The 23,300-nt window shown below is 46.4% G+C and overlaps 1 protein-coding gene across 52 annotated transcripts in view, besides 4 other annotated features; it reads left to right on the plus strand.

Moving 5' to 3' along the window:
• Positions 1,715-2,009: a silencer, noted in NCBI's record as "tiled region #466; K562 Repressive non-DNase unmatched - State 22:ReprW". NCBI's record gives its function as "represses a minimal TATA promoter and a strong SV40 promoter by Sharpr-MPRA in K562 cells {active_cell/tissue: K562}" and the evidence as "EXISTENCE:reporter gene assay evidence [ECO:0000049][PMID:27701403]".
• Positions 3,511-4,052: an enhancer, noted in NCBI's record as "OCT4-NANOG-H3K27ac hESC enhancer chr18:56529025-56529566 (GRCh37/hg19 assembly coordinates)". NCBI's record gives its function as "activates a minimal SCP1, AML or CMV promoter by ChIP-STARR-seq in primed H9 embryonic stem cells {active_cell/tissue: H9 hESC(primed)}" and the evidence as "EXISTENCE:reporter gene assay evidence [ECO:0000049][PMID:30033119]".
• Positions 4,053-4,592: an enhancer, noted in NCBI's record as "OCT4-NANOG-H3K27ac-H3K4me1 hESC enhancer chr18:56529567-56530106 (GRCh37/hg19 assembly coordinates)". NCBI's record gives its function as "activates a minimal SCP1, AML or CMV promoter by ChIP-STARR-seq in primed H9 embryonic stem cells {active_cell/tissue: H9 hESC(primed)}" and the evidence as "EXISTENCE:reporter gene assay evidence [ECO:0000049][PMID:30033119]".
• ZNF532 (zinc finger protein 532) overlaps positions 4,642-23,300 on the plus strand; it is a 123,557-nt gene continuing 104,898 nt past the window's right edge. For 8 of the 52 annotated variants that reach the window (NR_148459.2, XM_047437584.1, XM_047437592.1 and 5 more), the window contains exons 1-3: positions 4,642-4,884; positions 7,022-7,103; positions 7,188-7,297. The gene's annotated coding sequence lies outside the window, so the exon portion shown is untranslated. Of the gene's footprint in view, positions 4,885-5,200; positions 5,469-5,808; positions 5,954-6,076; positions 6,248-6,594; positions 7,104-7,187; positions 7,298-23,300 lie in introns of those variants that run through there. The other 44 variants (XM_047437597.1, NM_001353529.2, NM_001353532.2 and 41 more) reach the window with 14 other exon arrangements.
• Positions 11,691-12,672: an enhancer, noted in NCBI's record as "NANOG-H3K27ac-H3K4me1 hESC enhancer chr18:56537205-56538186 (GRCh37/hg19 assembly coordinates)". NCBI's record gives its function as "activates a minimal SCP1, AML or CMV promoter by ChIP-STARR-seq in primed H9 embryonic stem cells {active_cell/tissue: H9 hESC(primed)}" and the evidence as "EXISTENCE:reporter gene assay evidence [ECO:0000049][PMID:30033119]".

Below are 23,300 nucleotides of genomic sequence, written 5' to 3' on the forward strand. Positions count from 1 at the left end.
AGCAATTCTCCTGCCTCAGCCTCCTGAGTAGCTGGGATTACGGGTGCCCGCCCTCACACCCAGCGAATTTTTGTATTTTTAGTAGAGACGGGGTTTCATCATGTTGGCCAGGCTGGTCTTGAACTCCTGACTTCAAGTGATCCACCTGACCTGGCCTCCCAGGATGCTGGGATTACAGGTGTGAGCCACTACACCTGGCCAATACACAGGACTTAGATGAGGAGGTTGTGAAGGGTAAGGAGAGTCTTCCAGAAAGCGGGGCCGGCATGTGCGAAAGCCTGACAGTGACAGGAAGTAGGTGATATTCAAAGAACAAAAAGGCAAGCCTGGATCTTGAAATGTGAGGATGGAGGGGCAGGGACATGGGCAGGCAAATGGGTCGAATCGTGAAGAAACTTCTAAGTCACAGTTATAATCTGGACCTCATTCTAAGGACAATTGAGTCATCTGGAAACATTTGAGCAGAGGAGTGACAAGATGGTATCGTTGGAGAGATTCCTCAAGGTTTAGTGTGCAGAATGCATTGAACGTTGGCCAGGTTGGAGGCAAGGACTCAGTGACCAGTTCCACACTGGGATGATGGGCCTGAGGTTGTGTGTGCGTGATGTCAGCCGAGAGAAGGGATTGGGATCAATAGACACTTGAGAGGTGGAACCCTCCCAGCCTGTGGTGATGGAGCAGATGAGAGGGAATGAGGGTCGTTTTCTGAGAGGGCAGGTACTGTGGAGATGAATCTGGTGTGGGTGGGTGTCTCGGGCTGCGGTGCTGGAAACAGACCCTGAATAATCTTTGGAGATATAATTGTGAAGGACTGAGGAAGGCAGGATTAGAAAGGAGGAGTTGACCCACAGTGCTATGGTGATTGAGGCCTCAGCCAATTTACAGGGAGCTCTGGGGCTGGGATGGCCCTTCAGAGTTGGCCCAAATAAAGGCAAGAGGGCCAAGTTTTTCTATCTCTACATCAGCCAGATGTTGGCTGCTTCTTGGAAGTGGGTGTAGCCTTGGGCAAGACAGTTTCCAAGAACTGTCACAAGACGGTGGCCAAAGCAATTTGCAGTGAGGGAGTCAGCTGTGAGTAGTCGGCAGCCAATATTCTTAGCAGCTAGGGGATGAGGGTGTATACTCTGAAGAGAGAACCTAGACAAAACACTACTGTATCCACTACAATAGCAAAAGAGCTTAGGTTTAATTGGGGACATATTTACTTTTAGGTGCCTCTGGGTTCATTATCCATTCCTTAGTTCACTGATAATTAATGTCAGTTATGGGATGTACAAAGCATTGTGCCAAGTGGTGGTGATGGCAGGGATGATGAGGGCAGGATGGGAAGATGAAGTCAATATTAGCGCATGCATAGTGCTCAGGGTAGTGTCTGCACTGCAGGAGACCAGTGAGATTCCTTCTCAGGAGGAACTGGGTCCCCATTTCCTGTGTGTTCCCTTCTCCTTCAGGTAGGCCCTCAAAGGATTAAGCCTTTTCCTTTCTCAGATACCTCCCTAGGTTCTTCTTCTTTCTCTTCCCCTCCTCTAGGACTTAGAGAGCAGAGAACAAACCCAAACACAAGTTTCTTTTAAGGAAGCCCAGATGTAATATAAAAAAGTTACAAAGGGTTAGGAAATCTTATAAAGTTCTCTACAGATTTCTCCTTTGGCCCAGTTTCTGCAGATGAATCTTTACCAGGATCCCAATCCCCGTACTTCTGGCTCTCCTTTGACTCCTGAAGGGAGGGCTCATAGAAACTACCCACTTTTCTCTGTCCCTACCCTTCTCAACTCTTTCCTTGGACAAGGCCAGCTTTCCAGCATTTAGGCCTTCAGAGACAGCAGGAGGTAAGGATTAGTGGATTCATCCAGTAGCCAGGACCTAGGAGGTCATTCAAATATCGAGGGGCCTCCTAAATAATGCCCAATGCTGAGCCCAACCCCCACCCGCTTCGGGTCTCTCGGTTAAAGGCCTTTGCAGGCATTTCCAAACTGAGGTTCAGAAAAGGAGAGGTGGTTTTGCCACAGAAATCTATGAAATCACGAACAAAGGATAAGGGGAATCCTCTACAGTCTATTTCTGGCAGGCTAATAATAATTTAAACTTGGTTATGATTTCTTTCAAGCGTATGTTTTTGAATATAAAAAAACCTGATTCTATCCATATTTTGATGTTCTTAAAAAGAAAAGGTAGACTTTTGTTTTTTCCTTTTTCTTTGCTGGCTACCCTGCTACAAATCTTTAAATTATGGTGCTAGGATTGAAAGGTGTAATAATTTCTTTAAAAAGAAGCTAACACATTTAATATATTAATCTCTCTATAAACCCCTAGGCTTAGCTTGGTTTCAAGCTAAAAATGTGTAGTTCAAGGCATGAGACTGCTCGGTTTAGTAGTTAGTTCCACAGGGCCTCTGGATGGTGAGATAAAGAAAAGGTGTTTCCTTTTTTCCTTCCACTGTCCCTCCAGGAACACACCTTTTGTGCGCTCTACCTAACACACGAATTTCCTAATTTCATAAGGGCATTTGGAGGGAAAGTATGATGATATTTACAGGCTTCTGCAAAGCCGGCTTCCAGCCACAAAAGATTAAAGAAAAAAGCTAGGATTTTGCAATACACTGATTGGAGGAAAAGCCAAGACATTGAGAGTTAGCAATAAAAACAGCAACAACAAAATCGCAAAGGGTTTGGAATTCCTTTAGTTTCTATTTGGCATAAGAATCATATGATTTCTTTGTTCTGCCCTTCCTTATCGACTGCACTCAAATGATAGTTTTATTTCATTCTTGCAGTCGAGTGACTGATTCTATTGTTGCTCAAAGCAGAGAGGTGCACAAGAGAGCCTTACATATGTAGAATAATAGAATGAACCTTTTTGTATTGTGTTTTTGGAAGAGGGGTAGTGTCCGCTTAAAAAAAAAACAACCCAGAATAAATGCTGTCTTTTCAGCTGTGAAATTTAGTGATTTTGCAAAATGGACTAAGACGGGTGCTTTGCTTTTAACTACTGGTCTACCTGGCAAAGGGGTTTCTCTGAAATCCTCTTTACAAAAATAGAACTGAGATAACTTGCAATAAAATATCTTTTACTTTTTGTTTATGATATTTAAAAGCAGATGCAATGTTATTTGTTGCCATTTGTGCAAATGATCAATTGTGCTTCTAGACCAAATTTCTTCCAGCCGAGGCTCCGGCTAAATCACTGGGCTTTGTACAAAGCCCTGCTCAAAAAAGTGTTTGGCATGATGAAGCCACGAGGCAGTTGTATAGCTGAAGGCTCTTTATGATAAGCATTTCAGACTTTAGTTTTGGTAGTACAACTCTTGTAACCATTCAAGTGCTGCTTTGCTGTCATTTCAACTCTTAAAAGAAGGGAATGGGGGAGGGGCAAGAGAGTCTTCTAAGTAAACAAAGATCCCAAATCCATGAAACCTAGGATTTATCATGGTATGTACATTATGAAATTCCATATATTGTAAACTGTGTAGCATGTCAAGATTTCACATTAGCAGGTCCTAGTGTACTCTTCAATGCACATACGGTTTTTATATGCATATTAATAAAGGCCCATCTTTGGGAGAAGAAAAAAGGCTCCCTTTCAAATGAAATCAAGCCCAGGTAAAGCTGAAACCCAACCCACAGAGTACTGGCACCGTTTTCAGGCCAAAAGAAGACAAGGGTTTCAATTTCATCATCTTGTAATGCTGATAAATGCGATGCTGTGACTGGCAAAATTTGCAGATTACATAGGTCTTTCTAAACGTGTGTAAATATGCAAATATGTATTCCAATTTATGTGCAATTCCAAACAATTTGCTGTTTGAAATTAAAGACCAACAACTCTTCTGTGAGACAATAATTCGGGTCATTTACATGAAAAGTCTTAAACAGCAAAAATGCTACTTGCAATTTACATCATACAGTGCTCCCATCACAGAGAACAATGGCTTCCTCAATGGAAGTTAACGCAGTAGAGAGGTATACTGAGATTTTTTTTTTAACTTTTCAGCACAGTTTGCAAATACTAACCAATGAATCAAATTTAAAATAAAATAGAAATGTTTCTTATGCTTGGTCATCACTGCTACTTGAGTGTTATTTTTGTGTCTTCAGATTCCTATCAAACAGGAGTGAACCTTTTTAACAGGTTATGGTGACATTTTTTCAGCTCCTTCCATTTTGTCCTATTTCCAGTGTCAGCACAATTAGCTTGACTTGGGGGTTTCTGTCTGGTTTTAAAAACCTTTCAATGGAGTGCACGTCTGTGAACAATAAAGGAACGAGGACACGGGGCTGGGAAAACAGCATACCTCATCTGGAATGGAAATCTATCGTCTCTCGCCCTTGCACGGGTCACGATTATACACCTTCGTGACCTTTAGCGGGCTTACATATGTATCTTTTTGTGTTCCGCAGGCTATGACCACCTGCTGTATGTACAATATGTGCTTGTTACATTTGTACACCATCTCCCTTCTAGAATTTAAAGACCTAGCTATTACATCTTGTTTACTCAATATCATTCCCCCATTAAGGAAAAAAAAAAACCTACATGAACTGAACATGCCATGTTTCAATCTGGCCCCAGTGGCTTTTTCTCTGAAAGCAAACGTGTGTCTTTTACACCAGGGCTTTCTCCCCACCCCAGGGGGTGTCTTCCATCCTTTTGTGGCTCAGTTGAAGGCGAAAAGGGCTCCAAACCACTAACTAACCAGAGGAGAGCCCCTTCTTCCACCTCCAGGGAGAATTTCAGATTTAATTTGTCCGAAGATAGCGTGCTCTCTTCTTACTCATTTGCCATCATTACGAGGAAAACAAACCACCACCTTGGCTTCAAGATCCTGGGTAGAGGCTCACGGTCTTTTCAACCATCTTTGGCGAGGCCTTGCTTCCTTCCACTCGAGTAAGTCGCGGCTTGGGGCCACGGAAAGGACTGGGTGAGAGCCCGCAATGTCGTTGGAAAAAAGCAGCCCTCCCTGCGCCCCCTCACCAGCCCCACCACCCCGCTCCACTCCCGGGGCGAAGCCGCGAGCCAGCGGCCCCGTATGGGCGAGACTTGGCAGGTCCGCGGGGCGCCTTCTCGCCGCCGCCGGACTCGGGGCTCCGCAGCGGCCGGGCGTCGGCGCCCGCCGGCCGCGGGGCTTCGCGCTGCCGCCGCCCGGTCCCGGAGCTCCCTTCCCCCACCGGCCGCCCCCTCCCCCTCGCCCGCGCTCCCTTTTGTTCGCTCGCCGCCCGGGCCGAGCCGCCGCCGCCGCCGCCGCCCGGCCCGGCGGCGAGGCCGCTCCACCGCACACGCACACACAGACCCCGGCAGCGGGAACGCAGATGACACGCCCGTAACATGGAAGCCGCCGCCGCCGCCGCTCCGACGACAGCAGCAGCAGCCACAGCAGCAGCCGCCGGCGGCGCCGCGCTGAACAAAGGTCATCCGAGCTGCGGCCCAGACGCCCGGGCTTGACCGCCGCGAAGGCCAACCCCGGGAAGGGGGTGGGTGTGCGCCTCTGGGGGTGCGGGGCGGCGGGAGGCGGCCGGGGCGAACGAGGGGCGCAGGGCAGCCGGACCCAGGGGCGCGGGTGGGCGCCGGGCAGAGGCGGGGTGCGGCCCCTCGTGCCCACTCCTGCGGGCCGGGGTGAGCGCGTGAGGCTCAGGCCCCTGGGCCTGCCCGCAGTGGCCTGTCCCACCCTGGCCTTGGGGACAGCCGGCCTTCGCGCCCCGCCAGCTGGCTTGGGGGGCCGAGGAGGAACCGCCCGGGCTAGGCCCCGCAGGTTACGAGACGGGGGCCACGTGAGCGCGGCTCTCCTACTCCCCCCGCCGGCGCCGGCCGGGCACAGATGCGTTTCCAGAGGCCTCCGTGCCCCCTCTCCCACTGGCCCTGCCTTCGCCCCCCGCCCCCTCCCCAGACAGCCCCAGTTTTCTTCCCCCGAGGTGAAGGGATTTGGACTTCTCCCCCCAGGTGCTTGAAAGAAGAGAAGGTTGGAGGAGGAGGAGGAGACTGGGGGGCTGCTGGTGGTGGTGACAGGGCTGGGAGAGAGAGGAGAGGGACGGAAGGGAGGAGGGGGCTGGGTGGGGTGGGGGTGACAGCAGAGAGGAGCCTGGTCAACAAGCCAGCACCACTGTGCTAGGAGGCCAGGCCGGCTCTGCAGCCGACGCATCCCGTGTGAGCAGACACACATAGCTCGCTTTCTTGGGGGCTCTTTGTCAGCCACCAACACAGAGAGCACACACTGACACACACGTACACAAAGATCTGAGCCAGGTTGTGGGAGGTAAGTGGGGGAAGGAGAAGGAGGGGGAAACAGTGTCTGCGGTGGGCTGTGGGGTGGAGGGGAGGGGGGATGGGCCCTGAGGGGCTCTGGGGTGCTTGCGAGGTGAGCATTTCCAAGGCTGTGTGCTCGTGGGGTGGGGGGACACACGATGACCTTCTCCTCCTCAGGAAGACCTAAGAGGGAAGAGCAAACCCCAGCGAGATCCCCCCTGTGCTGATGATTTTCAGGGACTTGTTGGCAACTCAGCGAGGGTTGCCATAGCTTTTTTATGTAGGGTGACCAGAACCGGCTGAAACTGGTTTGAGGCAGATCAGCTCCTGAACACAATGCAGTCACTGAGCTACTACAGTAGGATAGCAGCTTCCTCCCTTCATGGCAGCCAAAAGCAGAGGAGCTTGCAGGAAGGTACCATCCCTACACAGTATGTGAATGCACACTTAGACACCACACAGCACTGGTACGTGACTAATGGAGCCCTAAAAGATTCTGGGTAGAGAAGATGGAAAAAAAGGTGCAGGTTTGCAGGGTCTGAGATTACTTGGGCTTTTCCTGCCTTTTTCTTTTGCTTAAGGGATGGACAAGGAGCTGAGATTTATGACCCTTATTAGAGAAAAAAATGTGCCTTGCTAGGGTGGGGACACTTGGTTGATGCAGTCTCTCTCTCTCTTTCTCGGTGTTTATAACAAAACAAAACCAAAATGAACTGAGGGGTTTGTAATGGTAGTTTGTTTGTTGCTGGAGAATGCTACTTTGCATGCTTTTTTTCTCTTGCAGGGTATGTTCTGTCTTGTGCTTTTTCTTTTAGAAGCTACTAAAGGGTGTTGGGGATGCTTCTGACTATTATGAAGGCCAAAAGGTAACAATATCGTTCTAGGAAATGAACATAAATGCATTCCAGTGATGCTGTTAGCCATACATGCTGTCTTTTTTTTCCTTGTAGGCCTGTTGACTGGGGCTGCTTTTAACCCTTTCCTATTTGCTGAGAATGCAGCCGTGTGACAGTAACTGAACATTGGTCTAAAGTCTTTCCAAAAGGTCAAGGTTCACAAGGTGAGATACGCTGTTTTGAGCATGAATTTAAATATTTATTTGCAGATCCATTTAGACACAGACGGACCGTGGATTGCTACCCAGGAGATAAAATTGGGTTCAGAGTGGAGAAGAAATGCTCTTAATGTTATCCCAGTTTAATGGGATTAGAGTGACTTTATGATGGTATTGCGATCAAGGCGAAATCTGAATGCCTTCATTAAATCGCATGTGTCTGGGCAATTGGGAGAGTCAGGCCTGGAAGGAAGCGAGTGTGGAGAATGGTAGGCGTCAGGGCCTTGTGGAGAATGTGCTGTTTTGCATAAGACGAAAGCAGTACACATGTGGCATTTTCCCGATGATTATAAGAAAAGGAAGGGCTTCACCAAATCGAGGCAGCCTAGCCACCTTTTTAGGATTTGAGGAGTCTGAAGGTAGATTTGCCTTTTGTTCATTCATCACCTTTCTTTTACCTTGCTCTCTTGTGTTAACCTGAAAGGTTTTTCACTCCGACTCAAGTGGTGGAATGTCTTTTATTGATTTTGGGGGCTGTTGACGGTGAGTTCGCCATTGGATTCTTTGTGGCATATGTTTAATGTGGAATACTAATGCAATACCAGGGGGAAGCCGGGTAGTCTGGCTTCATCTGTGAAAAGATGCCTGTTAACTCAAAGCTGTACTGGAATGGGTGGTAGAAAATGTCTGATGCCTTTAAAGATCGCAGTTAGGTTTGAGCAGGCATTTTAATGCACCTTCCAAAACCAGAGGTTGGAGAGGAGAGGAGAGAAGGAAGGAGTGAGGAGAGTAGCAAAGTGAAGAACAAAGGCTGAGGGGGCTTGCAGGAGAACACTCAACATTTTGCCTTGGGTTCCTTGTGAAAAGAACTGCAACTTCCCCAAACAGGAAACCAGCAGCTCCAGAATGGGATCCAGTGTGATCTCAACAACAGATAGAACTGGTCCTGCCTTTCTGCTGGTTTTTGGTAAAAGTACAGTCAAGAGGAGCCCATAGAAGACATGACTGAAAATAAAATTTTCCCCTACTTCGAAGTGGGCATTTTGTTCCTCTCCGTGTTCAGCAGAATAGGGGCTTTTCAGCAGTGCCGAGGATCTTGGAATTGGTTAAGTTGTGTGCTGGCAGTTGGTGGGCAGGATATCTGCAGTGAAGGACGTCAAGTATGCAAGGGTTTTATTGTTAAAATGTTTTTCATTTGGCTACAGAACATCCACTATGTGATAAAACTGGCAAAAGGGAAACAAGAGTGCATGGTTAGCTCAGGATACTTTATGGAGTATTTAATAGAGATAAATGTAATCTTGGACGGATATACCAGTAAATAGCTTACATGATGGAACAAAATTCTTTACAAATCACTGTGCTAAAATTGGTTTTCAATTCTCCATCATTTCTGACTGCCAGAGGTTCTGTGTATGAGTGTGGCAGGAATATGCTTGCAAAGCAGATCCGAATCCACGCTGCGCGTGGTGTGCTGCTTCTGCGTTTCTGATGTCAACTAAAACTCAGATGGCTAATATGATAAACCTTAATTAGCTTAATACAATAAGCTGTTTTATTATTTAGTCCTTCATTCTTGTCTTTTGAGAGTCAGTGATTTTTGTTTAACTTTGACAGCTAACCCCTTGCCACGGCTATACAGTGCGAATATGTTTTAAAAAACCTCTTCGTAGGGCATTGCATGTCATGGAATGTTCTGGTTTTCTGTCTTGGTGGTTTTTAGCTTTGTTCCTCTCCCTCCCCCTTGAAGTCTCCTGAAGATAGCATTTGTTTTGCATTTAGACCAATCTTTCCAGCTGCAAATGCTGCTGAGGGTTGGAGAGCTGGTTCTCTGGGGCGGGAGTCATGAGCTCATCTTGGATTGGAGCTTGTCTCAGGTGTTGATCTCATGCTGAGGTATAACAATGTAGCAGGCCCAGGCCTCCCTGGAGTGGGGAGAGTCTTCTGGGCTGGGGAATGTGGATGTGAGTGTGCAGGATGAGCTAGGGCATGTTCCTTCCTGGGAGAGCCAGGGGGGACCCGGTGCCTGCAGTTCCTGTCACCGTGGAGCCCAGAGCCCAGCCCCTGGTCGGCAGTGCCTGTAGCAGGCTCTAAAGACGACCTGCGGTCCATCCCCTCCGGAGCAGGAATGTGTGGGTTTGGCTGAGGAGAGCACACTGGAAAGAAAGTGTAACTGGGTGTTGAACCCTTCTTGTTTTTATCCTTTGCCTATTCAATCATTTTTTCCATGTTAAAGAACACTGGAGCCAGGGTGTTTGGAACTCTCAGCGCAACCTGGTTCAGGAGCACACACGCTCTCTTTTTCTTCTGTTCTTTTCTCTCAGCGATTCCCTGCCCCCACCCACCTTGACTCATTTTAAGGAAGGTCTAGGAAGGAGGTTGCCAACTTGTCAGTAGAATCTTCTGATGCCTTTGACTGTGAGTTAGAATTTTAGGGTTTGTGTTCTCCCATCTCCCATTTATTTCTTCTCTTGAAATGTTCTCTTGGACTTTTCCGTGCAATACAGTCGCTCTCCAGTTGGCTTTGAACAACCTTTACCGTATCCTTGGTAGAACTCCAGCTGGCTGTTAACAGGTGAAGCAGAGGTTGCCAACACAAGGGAAACTGACTCCATTCCCCATCATGTACTCCTAATCCCAGGACCATCAGAACAAGAACTACAGACTTGATAAACATTATGGAAACACACACCTTCGTGTTCATTTTATTTTAGGGCTGATCTTTAACTAAGTCATGGTTAAAGAATTAGCTTAAAAAAATTTAAAATTTGTGTACAGGAAAATTTACTCTGTGGTGTACCGTTCTGTGGGTTTTGGCATATGTGTAGAGTCACTTATCCACCACCACGGGCGAAGCAGAACAGGCCCATCACACCAGAGCATTTCCTCTTGCCGCCCCTCTGTAGTCAGCCTCTCCTACCCCTGGCATCCACTGTCTCACTATAGGGACATGGTTCTCTCGTCCTAGAGTTTGGGCTTTCTAGAATGTCAGATAGCAAGATGCGTTTCAGATTCATCCATGTTTCTCTGTGTTTCGATACTTGGTTCTTTGTCATTGCTGAGTAGTATTCTGCTGTATGGATGTACCACAGTTTATTCATTTGCTGGGTGAAGGACATTAGGGTTGTTTCCAGTTTTTGCTAATTGTGAGTAAAGTTGCTGTAAGCATTTGTGTGAAACAGGTTTTTGTGTGAACATAAGTTTTTATTTCTTTTTGCTAAATGCAGTCACGTGTCGATTAATGCAGGGGTACATTCTGAGAAATGTATCATTAGACAGTCTTGTCATTGTGCAAAGATAGAATGTACTTACACAAACCTAGATGGTGTAGCCTACTATAGCCTACTATATACCTAGGCTATATGGTGTAGCCCATTGCTCCTAGGTTGTAAACCTATACAGCATCTTACTGTACTGCATACTGTAGGCAGTTTTAATACAGTGGTAACTATTTGTGTTTCTGACCAATCTAAACACATAAAAGGTACGGGAAAAATATGGTATTATAATCTTATGGGATCACTGTGTGTACGTGGGCCATTGTTGACCAAAATGTTGGTTTGCGTTGCATGACTGTTCCTAGAATTGGGGTGGCTGGATCACATGGTACATACATAAGAGTTAGAAGTTTGAATGAAAATAAATCCAACTTGTAACTCACAAAAAAGATCTAGCGTTGACAGCTGCAGTTAAGACTCGCCGAGAAAGAGATCGTAGTGAACATTGTCTGAAGACACACGAGAGATGATCATGATAATAGAACACTCTCTAATGGGATGACATGCTTTGTAACCCTGAACTAATCAGAATTAGCCAAAAGTGGAAACAGAAAACTGCAAGTGGTAAAATATCCTTTATTTCCTGCAGCAATTATTTTTAATCTCTTCGGAAACATTTGGCAGTCTAATTTTTACATTCAGGTTCAATAAAACACAAAACAACAATAGAATAGAAATTTTGGAAAGTGATACCACAGATCATTGTTGAAATCTTAGTTGTGTGTTATTAACTTCTGAATTATAATTTGATTTATGGACTGCCAAAGTATTGGGGTCATTTTATTAATAATATTTGAAGTTATTCAGCTTTTATGTATTTTTAGGAACTGAAAATGTTTAAGCAATATTCAGTGAAAGCAGTGAAGAGGGGAGATTTTGGAAGATTTGTTTGGAAGATTTTGGAAGATCTGTTTTTTTTTTTTTTTTTTTTTGGAGTTGGAGTCTCGCTTTGTTGTCCAGGCTGGAGTTCAGTGGCGTGATCTCGGCTCACTGCAACCTCTGTCTCCCAGGTTCAAGCGATTCTCCTGCCTCAGCCTCCTGAGTAGCTGGGATTACAGGTGCGTGCCACCATGCCTGGCTAATTTTTTGTATTTTTAGTAGAGATGGGGCTTCACCATGTTGGTCAGGCTGGTCTCGAACTCCTGACCTTGTGATCCGCCCGCCTCAACCTCCCAGAGTGCTGGGATTACAGGTGTGAGCCACTGTGCCCAGCCCAGGTTGTTTTTTTTTTTTTTTTTTTTTTAAGGATAAAATAGCTTTCAGGATTGGGAAGAACAGACAAAGGTAATGGTGGTACAGATGGAGGGGAGCCCAAGAAGTGGGACATGATGTTAACCTGGGGATTGCCTTGTCATTTAACAGATGCTTACTGAGTGTTTAAGCACTGGGCATTGTGCTAAGCACAGGAGTGCAGAGGGAAAAGGGCCCCAGGGAGAAAAATCTAGTGGAAGGAGCCCCCAGAAGCTATGATAGGAATGTGAATAGGCCGCCTCATGCCAAGCGTCCACAGAGGAGCTGTGAAAGACTGGTAAGAATATGTGAGGCAGTCAGAGCCTGGGAGAGCATCTAAGTCCATGCAGCACACGTGGAAAGGTCTGGGGAGAGCTTGGTGTTTCGAGTGGGGTGTGGGTGTGCGAGGGGATGGAGCTGGAAGGCAGTTGAGGGTCACCTGATGAGGCCTTTTGGTGCAGTGCCTTGAGGATGGACTTCTGTGTAGGCAGAAAAGACGGACCTTTCGTTACAAAGGTCCTGTGGCAGCCCCATGGAGGTTGGAATAGAGGCTGTACAGGCTGGAGGTAGGGAGGCCAAAGAGGGAACCGGCAATCCAGGAGAGAAAGGATGAGGGTCTTTCATCCCAGGTGTTGTTTGTGGGGATGGAGTGGTAGGTGGGGGCTGCTTCAGGGGCCAGGTAGTGCCTGATTGGAGGAGTAAGGCTGCTTCTTAGGTGGCTGTCTGGGGGTTGCTTGGAGACTGGGTGTTCTGTCTTTGAGATAGCAAATTCCGAAGGCAGAATAGATTTGGAAGAGTGGAGGTGGAGGGACTTGATACAGTGAGTTCAGTTTTGGGCTCCAATTGCCTCTGGCTCTGTGAGTCTGGAATTTAGGAGGGTTGCTTGGGCTGGAGGTCAAGATTGGTAGTAATGAACATAAAACAGAGAGGATAGAAGAAAGGTGTTTTAAAAGGGGTTGGGTTTGGGTCCCCTAAGATAGTGGCTTACGTAGTAAAAACCATAAACGAAGCGGCAGGGGTGGCTGAAGAACTTAGAACCTGTGCTTTAGCAAGTTGGAGGGCAGAAGATTCCCAGGAAGGTAGAAAATGTAGCTAAAACCTGCAGATGCTGCAGTAGGTGATGGCACTTTACGTCTGTTATCCCATTTTTCTGATTTTTAAACCTTTTCTTAGAGGTGGGGTCCTGCTATGTTGCCCAGACTGGACTCAAACTAGCTGGACTTGAACTCCTTGGCTCAAGGGATCCTCCTGCCTCGGCTTCCCAAGCAGCCAAGTAGCTGGCACTATAGGCATGCACCACCGCAGCAGCTATTATGTTACCTCATTTGATACCGAAATGATGAGAGGAGCTGTACATGTTTTTCCCTGTGGTACCAGTGGGGAAACAGACAGAGACCCTCCCAGCTCGTAAGTGGAAGTGGAAACAGGATTTGAAACATGCTCCTTCTCACTGTGCTGTTCTGCCTTGGGGGAGCACAGTTGGTGGACTGAGGGGTGAGCATGGAAGCTGTTTCAGGGTGTGGAGGTGCCCAGAGAGGGCACAGCAGGTGCTAAACAGCAAAGACACTGGCGCCGTTCACGTTGGAGGTGATAGCTGATGACTGCCAGCGTGAGAATATGCAGTGGAGAAGTTTGAGGTACACTCAGGGCCTTTGTATTTAGCCAGATTTTCCTGATTGTAGTCAGCACAGAGAGCAGGGCATCTGTATTTGCACCAGAGACATCTCTAGAAATAGCATGTTGAAAAGACTTATTTTATTGGGCACTGGGGTGAGGATACAGATTGGAGGGGAGAAGGGCTAGAAAGATGTATTTGTTTTATGTATTCTTTGAAAAGGCTGAGAAAATCAAAGCAAATTGAAAGTGGTGCCGAGAAGAATCTTTTGTTCCAACAATAAATAAACACAGTTTAAAGAATTCTTTGAATCATCTTCTACGGCAGGAAGTTCTATATTCTGGCTGTTTTATAATGAGGGAGAGCAAATTCTGTTTAATCTAAATCTGGAGACTGAAATAAGTAATTTTTAGACAGACGCAGAGCGGCTTTTTTAGCTGTCTCACATATTCCTTATGAAGGATCACTCTTTAAGGATGGTCTTCAGGGGCCCCAAATGCAGATTTTGTATTCTTCTGTTTTCAGTCAGTTATTATTACAGCTTTACATAATTAGAGCTTTTAGACATCTTGAGTGATCCGTAGAGACCTAAAGATAAAATCAGGGTGTTGTGGTTCTTGAACTGTTTTCTTACCATCAGCCTTTGCATTTTGGGACACAAACTCCTCCTTTCCCCAAGGCTGACTCCCGGGGCTAGTAATGGGTATTGATTTTATCATTTTCTTTTGTGAGGAACAAATTCTTTCTAGGGATTTCAATAGTAAGAATTAGATAGTTGAAAAACCTAAAAAGGTTAGAAAATTCAAAGCCCTCTGTTTTAAAGGACCCCATAGCTGGAAGTACTTCACACATTTGTAGTTATCTCATTTTCTACAGTGAGCCCACATTGGAGGGTGGGGCCATCAGGTAACCAATAGCAGGTTTAGAACTGGAACCCAGCACTATAGTCCTAGCCCAAGACCGCATTCATCATTACCTTCTCTCTGCCTTCCAACATTTATCTTTTTTTTTTTTTTTTTTTGAGACCGAGTTTTGCTGTGTCGCTCAGGCTGGAGTACAGTGGCGTGATCTCGGCTCACTGCAACCTCCGCCTTCCGGGTTCAAGCGATCCTCCTGCCTCAGCCTCCTGAGTAGCTGGGATTACAGGCATGTGCCACCACGCCCGGCTAATTTTTGTATTTTTAGTAGAGATGGGGTTTCACCATGTTAGCCAGGATGGTCTCAATCTCCTGACCCTGTGGTCTGCCCACCTTGGCCTCCCAAAGTGTTGGGATTACAGGCGTGAGCCAACACACCCGGCCTAAAATTTATCTTATGTTTTATTTTTTTGAGGCAGGGTCTCACTGTGTCACCCAGACTGGAGTGCAGTGCTGCGATCTTTGCTCACTGCAGCCTTAACCCCCAGGGCTCAAGTGATCCTCCTACCTTGGCCTCCCACCTCAGCCTCCTGAGTAGGTGGGACCACAGGCACATGCCACCACGCCCGGCTAATTTTGTTTATTTTTTGTAGAGAAGGGATCTCTCTATGTTGCCCAGGCTGGTCTCAAACACCTGTGCTCAAGTGATCTGCCTTCCTTGACCTCCCAAAGTGCTGAGATCAGAGGCATGAGCCACTGCACCCAACTATGTTTTGATGGTATTTAATCCTCCTCCTATTTATAATCTTTATGTGAACCTGAAAACACGATTTGATTAAGTTAAGCTTTACCGAGGTACTTGTTGAGAAGCTGGTCTTTGATGATTTTGCTGATTTTTTTTTTTGTTTTTTCTGGGATGAAGTCTTGCTCTGTCGCCCATACTGGAGTGCAATGGCGCAATCTTGGCTCACTGCAACCTCTGCCTCCTGGGTTCAAGCAGTTCTCCTGCCTCAGCCTCCCAAATAGCTGGTATTAAAGGCGCCTGCCACCATGCCTGGCTCATTAATTTTTTGTAGTTTTAGTAGAGACGGGGTAACACCATGTCTCTATCTCCTGACCTCAGGTGATCCACCCACCTCGGCCTCCTAAATTACAGGGGTGAGCCACTGCACCTGGCCAGTTTTGCTGATTTAACCTAGCAAGAATGGGAGAGGTAATTTGAAAACTGATTTTACTTTGTGTTCTGGTGAAATCTGAGTGATAAAGGCCACGGAGATTTTCACTTGCCTTTGCCCAGCTCTCAATGATATAAACCTGATTGCCTGTCAGTGATGTAAACCTGTGTTTTGCCACTTACTAGCTGCGGGACCTTGAACAGGTTATGTAAATTCTAAACCATACGTTTCCTGAGGGTTGTTAGGAGGATTAAATGCATATATAAAGTGTTTAGCAGAATATGTGGTGAGCCCTTCCTACAATCTTAGCTGTTGTTTTGTGGTCTTTGGTCTCTGTTTTGGGAGAGTAGCCTTAGTCCCAGGACTTTTTTTTTCTTTCTTGGAGGGTATTGTCTCCTGTCCTGCCTTACCTCATTGGCAAGTATATTTGTTTTTGACCATGAAAACAGACTGTGTGTCTCCTCCTTGTCGCTAGAGTTTTAGTTACAGCTGCCCTATATCAGGTTAAAAGTGGGTGAAGTAGACACAAGGGTAGTGTATTTGTTCCTACTTGGCTCTACTTTCATTTGTGGTTGGAGAATCTTGTCTGAATTTTGTATTTATTTATTTATATTTTATTCTATTATTTTTTTTGAGAGATAGTTTTGCTCTTGTTGCCCAGGTTGGAGTGCAATGGCGCGATCTCGCCTCATCGCAACCCCTGCCTCCCAGGTTCAAGCGATTCTTCTGCCTCAGCCTCCTGTGTAGCTGGGGTTACAGGCGCCCACCACCATGCACAACTAATTTTTGTTTTTTTAGTAGAGACTGGGTTTCACCATGTCAGGCTGGTCTTGAACTCCTGACCTCAGGCGATCCACCCGCCTTGGCCTCCTACAGTGCTGGGATTACAGGCGTGAGCCACTGCGTCTGGCCTGAATTTTGTATTTGTAATCTAGTACTTGAACATTTTTTTGCTTCTGGAAAAATTTTCCACTGAGTGGCTGTACTTTAGGTTGTCTGTGGGTGCAATTTACGTTGACCAAAGTTTAAAACAAAACAAAACTTGATGGTGAAAATATGCCAGGTTAGCAAAAGCCTATATTCTGACCCTTTCCCCCGGCACTTCGCTTCCCATGTTTGTTTGACCATGCCTAGATACTTATATTCTGCACACTGGGATTTGGGGGTGATAGAAGGGTGAGTGGAGAAGGATCTATGAATAATTATTTTATTTCTGGAACTACTCTGTTCAGTAGTGTGGTAGCCACTAGCCACATATGACTACTGAGCACTTGAAATATGGCAAATCCTAATTGAAATAAGCTGTAAGTATAAGATACATATCAGGTTTTGAAGATGTAATGAAAAAAAACAGAATATCTTGTTTTTTATATTGATTACATGTTGAATTCATAACATTTTGGCTATTTCACCTTTCCCCCCCCTTTTTTTCTCTTTTTCAAAAAATTAAAACTTTTTTTTCCTGGAGATGAGTGTCTTGCTGTGTTGCCCAGGCTGGTCTCAAACTTCTGGACTCAAGTGATCTTTCCCACTCAGGCTCCCAAAGTGTTGGGATTATGGGCATGAGCCACTGTGCCAAGTCCTTTTTTTCCTATTTTTAAAATATGACTGCTAGAAAATGTAAAACTAGATATGTGGCTTTTGTTATACTTCCCTTGGACAATGCTGTTCTGGAATGGTGGGTGGACATTCAAATAAATTTAGCAATGAAATTTTTCTGGTGCCCTGCAGTATTCATATTTGTTGATAACATTGAGTCTCTCCTTCTGTTAACAAAGATAGTGCTAGTTTGGCCCCTTTTTCTCTCTCAGGTGTTCCTAATTCACCTGTCTCCATCACAGGTCTACACAGCCACACTGGGTTGGTGTTTGCTTCATTATGGAAAGGGAACCAGTATTAATCACAGGTTTGCTGTGTGCTGGATGCCTTATACTTACTGTCCCCTGTAAGGTTATACTTCACATTCCTGTTGAGACTCACAGCTTGAGTGACCAGCTGAAGAATGCTCCACTAGTAGGTGATCGACCCTAGATTTGAACCAGGGTCTGGCCAGCTTTGAAATTCTTTTCTGTTTCTACCACTTTGTACATCTTTTCCGTGTAAAAGCTCCAGTTTGCTGCTGGTGTTCCGTACCTCTCGGGAGCCCTTGTCGTCTAGAGTGTATTTCTCACACTTTAGTTTGCATACAAATCACTTGGGGATCTTTTTTTTTTTTTTTTTTTGAGACAGAGTCTCGCTCTGTCGCCCAGGCTGGAGTGCAGTGGCGCGATCTCGACTCACTGCAAGCTCTGCCTCCCGGGTTCATGCCATTCTCCTGCCTCAGCCTCCCGAGTAGCTGGGACTACAGGCCCCCGCCACCATGCCCGGCTATTTTTTTTGTATTTTTTAGTAGAGACGGGGTTTCACCGTGTTAGCCAGGATGGTCTCGATCTCCTGACCTCGTGATCCGCCTGCCTCGGCCTCCCAAAGTGCTGGGATTACAGGCGTGAGCCACCGCGCCCAGCCTCACTTGGGGATCTTGTTAAAATACAGATAATGATTCTGTAGGGCTGGGATGGGCCCAAGACTGCATTTCTAAGTAGCCTCCTGGTGCCATTGACCCTGCTGGTTCATGGCCTGTCACGCTCTGAGTAGCAAGGCTCTCTGCTCCTCCCTTGGTCTCGGACCTGCTTCCTCTCTGCTTCCAAAGCGATAAGATTCTCCAGGCCTTCCCTGACACCACAGGGACTTACCCTCTAGCTTGGCATGTGATGCTAGCAGGGAGCAGACATGGGGGCCAGGACTGTTTTTTTTGATCACAGATGCCCAGTTCTGGCATGAATGCTAATTTCTGAGTACTCAGGATCTGAATGGATCCGGGGTTTATTCCTCTCCCTACATTTCTGCATTACTCCACCTTTGATATTGTGATCCCTTTGACACTTGTAGTCGGATCAGATGGAAAAGAATTTTAATATTGTGATTGCATCCAGGAGATGGGGCAAAGGTGCCTGTTATGACTTCATGAAGACTGTCAGGCCTTAGGTCAGCACAGACAAGTGACTTTGGGCCTAGTGCAATGGCTCACGCCTGTAATCCCAGCACTTCGGGAGGCTGAGGCTGAGGTGGGAAGATCACTTGAGGCCAAGAGTTTGAGACCAGCCTGGGCAACATGGTAAACCCCGTCTCTACAAGAAATAAAATTAGCTGGCTGTGGTGGTGTGCACCCGTAGTCCTAGCTACTTAGGAGACTGAGGCAAGAGGATCACTTGAGCCCAGGAGTTAGAGGCTGCAGTGAGCTAGGATCACACTACTGCACTTCAGCCTGGGCAACAGAGTGAGACCTTGTCTCGAGAAAAAAAAAAAGCAGAAAAGAAAAGTGACTGTGTTTGGTTCACGGATTCAGTATCCAGTGAGAGATGCGGACTGAAGGCAGTTAGCTTGCCACCGTTTCTGCCCCCTTGCCTGATGAGGAATAGAGGTGACTTGGGAGTTTTCCTTAGAATGGGGGTTAGAAGAGCCACTTCATGTAGCAGTGTTGGAAAACGGCTAGTCACATCACCTCTCCAGCACGTGATGGAGACAGCCTCCATTGGGTCCTTGGGTGAAGCTGTCCTGGGGAAGGTTGCCTTGGGGCCTGGACCAAACAGGAGATTGAGTTGCAGGAAGGAGTTCACTGTGTTATATGTTTAAACTCTTATGTAAGAGACTGGAGAATTTTACTTAGTGGGTTTATTTTACTTTGGGAAGGCACATTGATTAAATCAGCTATAGCAATAAATAAATGTCTGTTGCATGAGTTCAGTTTTAACTTCCCCATCTCTCTACAAGAAAGTCTGCCATTTCACAGAAATTCTAGTTGAAATTTAGATCTTACTGGACATCTGGGCACTGAGAGTTCTGTGTTATATGAATCTGGCACATTGAATTGGATTTATTAATCGTTGGCTAAGTCTGTCAACTCCCTGTGCTGTGCAGAATCCTGTGCCTGGCATGGTGACAGTATCGGCTCTGGGCCTGTGAGTGTGGCCCTTATGGAATCACAGATTGTTGGAAGGGGAGTGGAGTGGGGTTTGGAAGAATAGGGACAAGGTTGGGTGTGTCCTAAGGATGGTCAAGGCTGTGGGGCCAGCCCTGGATTAAGGAAGTGGAACTATGGAAGTTAGTCACAGTTGGGGGGTGAGTTTAGAATGTAGCTAGGGCAGAATGTTGCCATAGCATGCCAAGAGTCAGGGTAAGTTAAAGAGTCAGAGACTGGGCAGGTTGGCTGGGCATGGTGGCTCACACCTGTAATCCCAGCACTTTGGGAGGCTGAGGTGGGCAGATCAATAGAGGTCAGGAGTTCGAGACCAGTCTGGCCAACATGGTGAAACCCAGTCTCTACTAAAATGACAAAAAGTAGCTAGGTGTGGTGGCATGCACCTGTATTCCCAGCTACTCGGGAGGCTGAGTCAGGAGAATCACTTGAACCTGGGAGGCAGGAGTTGCAGTGAGCTGAGATTGAGCCACTGCACTCCAGCCTGGGCGACAGAGCAAGACTCCATCTCAAAAAACAAAAAAAACAAAACGAAAAAAAACCACTGGGCAGGTAGACCTTCAGAGGACATCAGAAGGCCAAAGATGATGGGCACAAGTCCGGTGAAATAGGCAAGGACGGGAACACATACAGATGCAGGACAGATGGCCATGCACAAGTGCATGATGGCAGGAGTCGGCAGTCCGAAAGATCTGTGATCTGTGGTGCTGATAGGAGAGGCCCCCCTGAAGGACTACCATGGAATGAATGAGTGAGTTGGTGAATGAATGAAGACCATATGAGCTACCAGTTCCAGTGATCACTGGATAACTGCAGCCTGAAGTGGAGCCAACTTCACCCAGCCTTCACGTGGAGTGGTGACTAAGGGCCCCCGTGGCCCAGGTGGCTGAGGTGAGGGGTGTGCATTGGGAGAGGCAGTAGCTCCTTGCCTGGCAAAGTTCATACGAGAAGGCTCTGAAAGACTAGATTGTTTAGAGTTTGCATGATTTGTAGGACATGATCAAGCTATGCAGTAAGAAAGGCAGCTCATTCTGAGGCCCAGGGTTAGCAGCTGTCAGGAGGACCTGACATCAAGAACTCAAGCGTCATCTTGCACTAAGCTTACTCCGCATTCTTTTGAGGACCACATGCCCTTGGTTGTCTCTTTTGCTTCCCCCTTAGTAGAACTTCTTTCCTATACACATGGGCAAACAATGCTGTTCCACAGCTCCTGTGTCTCCATGTCCTCATTTTAAATACTAGTGGACATCACCTGTAGTCCTCTGTCCTACTTGCAGTTCTCAAGGCCAAAAATCTCACTGGGCCTGGTCTAATCAGCTGTGGAGGGCAGGTTGTTCTTGTTCTTAGCCCTAAATAGGTGACAGTAGCCTTTAGTGAAGGTGGCCAGTGGGGTTGTGAGGCACGCCCGGCGGGGCCTGCTACAGTAGGAGCCATAGAGGCAAATCTGATACATTAGCGTCTCTTGTGTCTGGCCAAGGCGTTCCTCATTGTAAAATGCGATGCTTTCTAGAGAATGTCATTGTGAGAAAAAAATCTTTGTTCAGACATTGGCAAAACAATTAATTAAATGAGTAGAGTCAATGAGAAGTGAGCTATGCATGTTTATTGGGTAAGTGTAAAAGCTGGCGGCAAAAAGACAATGCAAGTGGCGACTGCCTTTTTCATTTTTTTTGAGAGGGAGTCTCGCTCTGTTGCCCAGGCTGGAGTGCAGTGGCACAGTCTCGGCTCGCTGCAGCCTCCGCCTCCCGGATTCTCTTGCCTCAGCCTCCCAAGTAGCTGAGATTACAGGTGCTTGCCACCACGCCCGGCTAATATTTTTGTATTTTTAGTAGAGACAGGGTTTCATCATGTTGGCTGGGCTGGTCTCGAACTCCTGACATTGTGAGCCACCTGCCCCAGCCTCCCAAAGCGCTGGGATTACAGGAGTGAGCCACCATGCCCGGCTGTTGGCAGCTGCCTTTTTCTATAGCATGTACTCTTGTTCATACATTAAAAACAACACTGTTGGCCAACGATTGTTTTTTTCAGTGGTAGGGGTGGATTTTCCTTCGTTCATTCCGTCTTTCGTCTGTTCTCCTTACAGCCTTGAGCACAGAGTTGTTACTTGACTGTACTGTTTTGGGGGTGTAGTTTGTAGCTTTGCCTTAATTCATTATTGTGAGAAAGGAACTTACCTGTAAGTAAATTGGATTTGTGTCCTTAACTTTTAACACTGTTTTCTGACATGCTTACGTGGATTCTAGGGGCAAGGACAGGATGAATACAAAAAAGGGAAGGATTGGATCCAAATAGAGGTTCTGAAAAAGATGTTTTGGTGGAAGTGTGAAAAAAGAGAGGGATGGAGTTGGACAAAAAAGAAAGGTGATCCAGAGAGGGAATGGTGGGAACACTTACCAGGAGAAGAAAGTGTGCAGAGGCCGCTGAGCATAGCTGTCTGGCTCGATAGACACTTGTTTGTTAAGAAATGATGAAAAGCAAGAGTTGCAGTGAAGATGAGCTAACGGGTGACTTGGTCACCTTGGTAGAATGCAGCTAGGGAAACTCTGTTTATTTGGAGCCATTTTGAGATCTAAGTCGTTAGGCCTCAGAGCAGTGCCGAAAAGTGGGTCATCTTATTATCCCACTTTATTCCTGAGGAACTTGAGGCTCAGAGAGGTTAATGGATATGCCAAGGCTAAGTTGGAGTTGGCATTTGTACCCGGATCTTTCTCACCCTGAAGTCTGTAACCTTTACCGTTCTTTAATACAATTGCCAGAGTGGATGAGCTCTTTTGAGTGTGGAAAGTGAATCTTTTTTCTGTTTTCTCTTTACTCAGAAATTGCAAAAACAGTATGTCTAGCTTGCAGTATTAGCTCCATAAATGCATAGCAAATGCTTGTTGTCTGAATAATTGTTGGACTGAGACACTGAAGGTAGGAAATTTGGCCAAATGACTGGTGGAATTGTTCAAACCTAAAGTTCAGGGTCTTTTATAGGTACATAGATGTATATTTGAGCCCTCTCATAGGCGCGCGCGCACGCGCGCGCGTCTGTGTGTGTGTGTGTATGTTTGGGGCCCCTCAGAGGTATATATCTGGCAAAATGCAAGTCTGGTTTATCTGGCCAATGTTAATTTTGGAAAAGATTAAGCACATAGTTTAGCACTTGATGTAATACTGTGATTAGGCTTTACTGCTTTTGATTTAGATGGCTCAGAATTTTAAAAAAATTCTCTTCTAATCTTGAATGTTAGGATATTACTGACTTCACTTGAAGTTTCAAATTGAGCTATAACATATTTGGTTACACAGTGGTCTAATTTCAGGTCACTGAAGATAGGAAGAATCTGTTCTGCATCTGTTTTGCTTCTTTTTTCTTTTTTTCTTTTTTTTTTTTGAGACAGAGTCTCGCTCTGTCGCCCGGGCTGGAGTGCAGTGGCGTGATCTCGGTTCACTGCAGCCTCTGCCTCCTTCAAGTGATTCACTGCAACCTCTGCCTCCTGGGTTCAAGTGATTCTCCTGCCTCAGCCTTCCAAGTAGCTGGGATTACAGGGGCCTGCCACCAAGCCCAGCTAATTTTTTGTATTTTTAGTAGAGACGACGGGGTTTCACCATGTTGGCCAGGCTGGTCTTGAACTCCTGACCTCAGCTGATCCTGCCTCGGCCTCCCAAAGTGCTGGGATTACACGCATGAGCCACTGCACCCAGCCTGTTTTACTTCTTAAAAGACCTTGCTGGGTTGTGTGTCTGCAAGGGGCACGCAAGTTGAGGATGCTGTTTATCATATTGCATGTGGTTGTTGTAAGTTTTGAGGACATCTGTCTTGTTATCACCTATGGAAGTTAAGTCACTTGGTTAGA

This window comes from Homo sapiens, chromosome 18, assembly GCF_000001405.40.
Source record: "Homo sapiens chromosome 18, GRCh38.p14 Primary Assembly".
Lineage (NCBI taxonomy): Eukaryota > Metazoa > Chordata > Mammalia > Primates > Hominidae > Homo > Homo sapiens.